The sequence below is a fragment of the Homo sapiens genome, chromosome 2, assembly GCF_000001405.40.
Source record: "Homo sapiens chromosome 2, GRCh38.p14 Primary Assembly".
In the NCBI taxonomy this organism is placed as follows: domain Eukaryota; kingdom Metazoa; phylum Chordata; class Mammalia; order Primates; family Hominidae; genus Homo; species Homo sapiens.
In genome coordinates, this window is record NC_000002.12 from 228,606,513 (window position 1) to 228,614,713 (window position 8,201).

Sequence of the window (8,201 nt, forward strand, 5' to 3'; positions counted from 1 at the left end):
TGATACCAAAGCCTGGCAGAGACACAACCAAAAAAGAGAATTTTAGACCAATATCCTTGATGAACATTGATGCAAAAATCCTCAGTAAAATACTGGCAAACCGAATCCAGCAGCACATCAAAAAGCTTATCCACCATGATCAAGTGGGCTTCATCCCTGGGATGCAAGGCTGGTTCAATATATGCAAATCAATAAATGTGATCCAGCATATAAACAGAATCAAAGACAAAAACCACATGATTATCTCAAAAAAACCACATGATTATCTCAATAGATGCAGAAAAGGCCTTTGACAAAATTCAACAACCCTTCATGCTAAAAACTCTCAATAAATTAGGTATTGATGGGACATATCTCAAAATAATAAGAGCTATCTATGACAAACCCACAGCCAATATCATACTGAATGGGCAAAAACTGGAAGCATTCCCTTTGAAAACTGGCATAAGACAGGGATGCCCTCTCTCACCACTCCTATTCAACATAGTGTTGGAAGTTCTGGCCAGGGCAATCAGGAAGGAGAAGGAAATAAAGGGTATTCAATTAGGAAAAGAGGAAGTCAAATTGTCCCTGTTTGCAGATGACATGATTGTGTATCTAGAAAACCCCATCGTCTCAGCCCAAAATCTCCTTAAGTTGATAAGCAACTTCAGCAAAGTCTCAGGATACAAAATCAATGTACAAAAATCACAAGCATTCTTATACACCAATAACAGACAAACAGAGAGCCAAATCATCAGTGAACTCCCATTCACAATTGCTTCAAAGAGAATAAAATACCTAGGAATCCAACTTACAAGGGATGTGAAGGACCTTTTCAAGGAGAACTACAAACCACTGCTCAAGGAAATAAAAGAGGATACAAACAAATGGAAGAACATACAATGCTCATGGGTAGGAAGAATCAATATCGTGAAAATGGCCATACTGCCCAAGGTAATTTATAGATTCAATGCCATCCCCATCAAGCTACCACTGACTTTCTTTACAGAATTGGAAAAAACTACTTTAAAGTTCATATGGCACCAAAAATGAGCCCGCATCACCAAGTCAATCCTAAGCCAAAAGAACAAAGCTGGAGGCATCATGCTACCTGACTTCAAACTATACTACAAGGCTACAGTAACCAAAACAGCATGGTACTGTTACCAAAACAGAGATATAGATCAATGGAACAGAACAGAGCCCTCAGAAACTGGATCCCTTCCTTACACCTTATACAAAAATTAATTCAAGATGGATTAAAGACTTAAACGTTAAACCTAAAACCATAAAAACCCTAGAAGAAAACCTAGGCACTACCATTCAGGACATAGGCATGGGCAAGGACTTCATGTCTAAAACACCAAAAGCAATGGCAACAAAAGCCAAAATTGACAAATGGTATCTAATTAAACTAAAGAACTTCTGCACAGCAAAAGAAACTACCATCAGAGTGAATAGGCAACCTACAAAATGGGAGAAAATTTTCGCAATATTATAGTATTTTAAAAAACACAAATATCTTACAGTATTTTAAAAATATGTTATCTTACAGTATTTAAAAAACTAGAATTACACATTCTAATTTTGGGAGTGAGAGTGGATGAGACAGAAAAAAAAGAAAAATGACTTGAATGTCTTTGGGGTTAGAATTGGTTAATCTTTATGTAAGTAACTGAAAATAGTATTTCCTTCTTCTGAATTTGGTTATGGTCAATTAGGTATTCTAGACCAAACCTCCTGCTGAAAAATACTATACATACAGGATAAAAAATAGTTTTTAAAATTTTGAAAATATGAAACAGTAAGGAATTACTAGGACAACGTATCAAGAGGAAAATAGGGAGGTAACTAGTACAGCAGCAACGTCTACCCTGAGAGAATGTGACAATTTTGTCAAACTTAACATTTTACTTGATAGCCTTATGGAGTGAGCAAGAGAACCATATCGAAGCCCAAAGCATACCTAATGTAGAAAGTCTAGTAAAAGACTTAATCCCCAAATAAACTGGAATCCGAAAGGGCTAATCTCTCAAAATAAATATGAACCACACCTAACAGAGCTGTTCCAGACCGTGAGCAATGAAGGCTTGCACTTCCTCGGTGGTCCAAGGAACCTCAGCATGGAATTTTATTTAAGGTTGTCCCTAACTAGTTGTGCCCTAGAGCCTGGCAATAACAAATGAAAATCCTCTTTGGAAGAACGTACCCTTACCCTAAATCTTAAAATATCAAGCTCATTTTTTTTCTAAGTTCACTTGTCAGCACAAATAAGGTACCATATGACATAATAAGCCAAAATAATAAATGAACAAAAAATAGAAGTACAAATACATCATATATTTGAATACACAATAGATTATAAAATCTTTGCTTACTATGCTTAAAAAATAAAATTGATAAACTTGAAAATATTAGTAAAAAATATGAAGCTATAAAAGATGACAGAATAGATTTGAAGAAGAAACAGACTAAGAATAAAAAAATAGCTGAAATTTAAAAGTCAGTGCATAATGAGGGGGGTAGGAGTCCATCAGTAAAACAATATTGGCCATATATAAATAATGATTGAATGTGAATTACAATCATATCAGAATCATTTTATGATTCTTTTCTTTTTTCCTTGTGTATATATTTAAACATTTCCATTGTTAATATTTTTTAAAAACCCTCCATTCATGAAATTAACAGCAAATTAGAGACAGCTGCAGAGAAAGTTAATGAACTGGACATTATCCGGAGTGCAGCATAAAGAATTAAAAAGAACATAAATAAGTAAATAAATAAAGTGAAGTTAAAAGACAGAGGATAGAGAGAAAAGGTCTACCATATTTTAAATCAGAAATCCAGCAAGAAAGGAGAAAAAGAATGAGTCAGAGGCAATAATTGAAGAAATAATGGGTGAGAATTTTCAGAACTGTTAGAAGTGACCAATTCACAATGCAAGGAACTTAGCAGATTTCAAGCAAGATAAATTAAAAATTCACACATTATAGTAAAACTGCAGAAAATCAAACATAAAGAAAACAATTTTAAAAGTAGCTGGGGAGAAAAGACACATTACAAGGAACAACAGTAGAACTGTTAGCTTACTTCTCAGTAACTACAATGACATTGTAGCTTTAAAGTGGTGAGAAAGATAATTTATGATGTATAATTATATACCCAGTAAACTTGTTTTTTTTTTAAAAAAAAGACAAAATAAGGAAGGTTTCAAAGAACAAAAACTTATGAAAAATTATCATCAGTCAAATATGAACCACACCTAATAGAGCTGCCCTGTTATTATTAAAAGAAATTGCAAAGGATATATTCCAGGCAGAAACAAAATTATTTCAGATGGAGGGTCAAAAGGTGCAAAAAACAATAGTTTTGACAAGTTAATTAAGAATGTTACAATTTCTAGTAAAACGATTAAAAGGATGAAACCAGATATGAAAAATAGAATGCAGGAAATGAGAGAGCTGATTTAAAACCGAAAAAGAACAATAATTATACTAAGAGGAATGGAACTGGTCTAATTAAAAGGCACAGATTTTCACGCTGAATGAGAGGGGAAAATGTCTGTATGCAGTTTATAAAAGACACACCTAAAACCTGTGACTGTGGAAAAATTTAAAATAAAGTGTCAGGAGAAGATATCATACAAATAATACTGGGTATTAGGAAGGTTGATTTTCCTACCTCAGACCACATGATCTAAAGGCCAGATGGTTAAGATTATTAAGATTACTTTATGATAATAATAAAATGTATTAAGAAGAATAAACATTTTAAATCTGCATGCACTTATTAACATGACCTTAAATATATGAACCATAAAAATGACACAGCTAAAAGAAGAAATAAGCAAACCCGAGTCATAGGGGAAAATCATAACCTAACTTATCAGTAATGGATAGAAGAAACAGACAAAGTTGTTAGTAAGAATTTGTAAGATTTTAATAATACAATTAACAAATTTAACCAAACGGACATACTGAACTATAAAACACTGTCTGTTATAAGTACATAATACACTTTCATCCCCCAAGCAATCCTGGAACATTTACAAAAATTAACCATATACTAGGCCTTAAGGATAAGTGTCAAAATTTTTAAATAACTAAAATAATAGAGCATATGTCTTCTTATTTCACTAAATTACTAGAAATAAGAAACAAACTGAAAAATCCCTATATGCTTCGAAAAAATTCAAGCCAGGGGCCAAAGCAGTCACAGAGTAAATCAGAAAAATATTTGGAAATACAATATATCAAAATGTGTGGGAAGCAGCTAAAGCAGCAGACAGAGCAAGAAGAAAGGCTGGAAATCTGGGTCGAGACACTTAAAAAAGAAGAGTAAAATAAGCCCAAAGAAAACATAGACACTATATTAATAAAATGGAAAACCGGCATATATTACACAGGATGAACAAAGATAAAAGCAAATTTTTAAAGACCATATAATTGGTAACTCTCTGGAAAGAATGGTCAAGTAAGGAAAAAAATGAGAAGGCACAAATGATCCATATCAAGAATAAAAGGAGAAAAATTACGAAAGATGCTGAAGACATGCAAATTAACAAAACATTAGGAATGGCAGCTGCAGTGTATTGAGAGATAGCGAGCTGAGAAGAAATTCAAACAGAAACTTCTTTTCTGTAACACACATTCATCTTGTTTGATCCCCAGAGTGTAATATGAAAATCCATGAACACCACCTATGTGAATATCATCATGTATGCTTTAGTAGCTGGAAAGCACAAAATAAAGTACCTTAAACAACAGGATTCTAGGTGACTTCTCTAGCAGGTAAAGGCACCAGATTGTCTTCTTAAAACCATCAAGATAGCTCAGCAGCCTGAGGTTTCAGTGTACATTACAGCAGGAGCCAAATTGAATATCATAAACCAAGGGAAAGAATGAGGCTTTTGGAGACTGGAAGACCTTGACTCTTAAAAGCAATGGAACTTTGGGGAAAGTTGCTTCATCTCCCTGAGTCTCTATTTCTCATCTGTCAGTATGAGTGATGTATTACCTAGTCACAAGGTTATTAAAAAGATAACATGCGATGATTCAGTAAAACATAGATTCTAGCAGATATTGGGTTTCAATAAATATGACCTACATATGTTTTATCAATATTTGACAACAGTTATACATGTATCTATAATTACAGTATGGAAAATGAATATAAGAAAGCAAGGGAGGATATAGTGTTTCTTAAAAAGATATCCATTGCTCCAAGAAAACAACAGAAAACAAACCACATATCACTATGAAACTCTCTGTTGTAATAGCTTGTTTGAAATGCGCTAAAGTCTAAGAATTCTATTCTAACTGCCCTTAATAAATGACACCTTGTGAAACTGGGTGCTGTGAAATTACACACAATGCAGAAATGAAATGAGATACTATCCTGGCTTTTAAAAAATAAAATTTGGCAAGTTGGGAGGCCAAGGCGGGCGGATCACGAGGTCAGGAAATCGAGACCATCCTGGCTAACGCGGTGAAACCCCATCTCTACTAAAAATACAAAAATTAGCCGGGCGTGGCGGGGGGCGCCTGCAGTCCCAGATACTCGGGAGGCTGAGGCAGAATGGCGTGAACCTGGGAGGCGGAGCTTGCAGTGAGCCGAGATTGCACCACTAAACTCCAGCCTGGGCGACGGAGCGAGACTCCGTCTCAAAAAATAAAGTAAAATAAAATAAAATAAAAAATAAAATAAAATTTGGATGACTCTTTTAAATAGGAACGTGGTTTAAAGATCTTGTAATTTATCATAAACATTCTGGTTTAGATCTGTTAGAGAGGTTTGAAAGGAGAAACAATTGATGTTAAATGTAAGGGGAGCTGTACCTAAGGAAAGGAGGCCCTGCCCCCGGCCCCTCTCTTCTGCAGGTGTTTGGTTCTTTTAAGTTTATTCACCTCTCAATTTGCCTTTACCTACATAAATAATGCTATACAATGCTATATAATAATCTCTTGCATGTTCTTTTCCTTAGAACATTTGCCCATACAAATTTCCTTAAATGTGTGTACCTTGGCATCTGCTTATTTGACTGATTCCCCAACTCAAGAGAAGAGAACACAAGTATTCCTTTGTACTAGGATTGTAAACCAGATCCATCTTGGGCTTTTTTTTTTTTCCTGTGTTCATGGGGATTTCCATATGTAATAAGAACCCTAGAGTTCACCTAAAGAAGAAATTGTTCCCAGGTGGGATCCCCAAAGCAACCTCTTCCTAAGGGGCCTGGACGACATTGGCAGGTGAGCCACATAAGAGCCAGCCTCTCCTGAAGAAGATATTCAGTTGTTTTGTCATGACATGGATTAGTCTGATGATTGGTGAGGGGAAGCGATGAAGTGGAAGGACATTGCAAAAACGCTGCTGTGGAAGAAAGTAGGTTTTAAATAGGGTGGATATATAATTTACCAGATTGGGATATGTTGAGGATAAAGAAGAGGCTATTCATAATTGTGCTGGGAAAACAGGTGTAAACCAGTACTATCCATGGTAAAATAGGACATATGGTCATCTCATTTTTAACTTTTGAAAATATCTATCAAAATATAGGTCTTGAGCTAAAATTAAAATAGCACAGTGCCTCTTCCTAACCATATTTATTTAATGAGATGTTATGAAATGTTATGAAATGAGTGGATTCTGGAGCTTGTCAGCTTGAGTCTAATTCCCAGCTATACCACTTACTAGACATGTAAAGCTCTGAGTCATTTGACCTATCTGTTTTCTAATAGTTTCATCTATGAAATGTGAGTGGTAATAGTAAAAACTACATCAGAGAGTCATTGCAAAGTTCAAATGAGTACTGTGTTTGTCATGGCATTACTCAACTTTCGCTGTGGTGACAAGGAACCCCAAATCTAATTGGCTTACAACATTTATTTCTTGCTTACGTTATTGGAAGGCCGTGGGCTGGCTGGGTCCTAAGTAGGCTCCCTTTGACTCAGCTGGGCTTGACTCAGTATCACATGTCTTTTTATTCCAGTCCTAATCTGAAAGAGAAACACTACCAGGCCTCAATGTTCTCTTGATGAGGGCAGAAGCCCAAAGAGATAGCGAGAAACCTTGTTAATTCATTTAAAGCTCCTGCTTTGGCAAAGTATATTTACACCCACTAACATTACATCATCGAAGCAAGTCATCAATCTAAGACCCCAATTAAGAGGGTAGTGACAGGCGCTCTGCCTACCGGGAGGCAGGCAAGAGTGAGCCATGAGTGAATACTTGAACAAATTATACCATCCACTTTAAAATTTAATGCAATTCTCGGTATCTAATAAGCATCTCTACAGGTGTTAAGTGCTGCTGTTAGCAATAAATGTACACATAACTATGCTTGAGTTCCTATTAAGTGACAATATTGTTATACATCATGCAATGACTAAGACCTCAATGTTGGTGATTGTGTTTACATAAGAGAAGCAATAAATGCACAAACAAGAGCAATGTGAATTATTTAGTGCTATGTAGAGAATTAAAATGGGCTCCAGTACAGACATGTGCTTGCACCAGCTTGTGAGAGCCAATTGCATGCATTGCTTCCAAACCCTGCTTTTGGGGATTGATTATGTGTCAATAGTTTGAAATGGACACGACAGTCGTGTTTACAACATGGACATTGGCTAATGCTATAAATCAGATAATATTTACTTATTTACTTTTAAAAAAATTTGGCTGAAGGGAGATCTGGTTGTTAAACATTTATGAGTACACTATAAGTCATGTAAATCTTTCCTCTTTTCCCACCTCCCTTTCTAATGTGGCCCAACAGTGCAGGGCGATGGCAGCATAAACCAAAAATAAAATTCTAAGCCCCCTAGCCAATTAAAAGGATCCTTCCTCTCAGCCTAGGACATTCTTTTTTTTTTTTTTTTTTTTTTTTTTGAGACGGAGTCTCACTCTGTCGCCCAGGATGGAGTGCAGTGGTGCAATCTCGGCTCTGCAAGCTCTGCCTCCCGGCTTCACGCCATTCTCCTGCCTCAGCCTCCCAAGTAGCTGGGCCTACAGGCGCCCCCCCACCACGCCCGGCTAATTTTTTGTATTTTTAGTAGAGACGGGGTTTCACCGTGTTAGCCAGGATGGTCTCAATCTTCTGACCTTGTGATCTGCCTGCCTCGGCCTCCCAAAGTGCTGGGATTACAGGCGTGAGCCACCGCGCCCGGCCCAGCCTAGGACATTCTTAAGCTAACCTGAAAAAAACTAATTCAGGCCAT

General features: G+C 36.2%; 1 long non-coding RNA gene across 1 annotated transcript in view, besides 1 other annotated feature; it reads right to left on the reverse strand.

Annotated features, from left to right (window-relative positions):
* LINC01807 (long intergenic non-protein coding RNA 1807) overlaps positions 1-4,883 on the reverse strand; it is a 128,137-nt gene extending 123,254 nt beyond the window's left edge. Inside the window, exon 1 of the long non-coding RNA NR_151716.1 lies at positions 4,740-4,883. This is a non-coding gene — a long non-coding RNA (long intergenic non-protein coding RNA 1807). The remainder of the gene's footprint in view (positions 1-4,739) is intronic.
* Positions 5,991-7,190: an enhancer, noted in NCBI's record as "P300/CBP strongly-dependent group 1 enhancer chr2:229477219-229478418 (GRCh37/hg19 assembly coordinates)". NCBI's record gives its function as "activates an origin of replication core promoter dependent on BRD2, BRD4, P300/CBP, MED14 and CDK7 cofactors, with strong dependence on P300/CBP, by STARR-seq in HCT116 cells {active_cell/tissue: HCT116}" and the evidence as "EXISTENCE:reporter gene assay evidence [ECO:0000049][PMID:35650434]".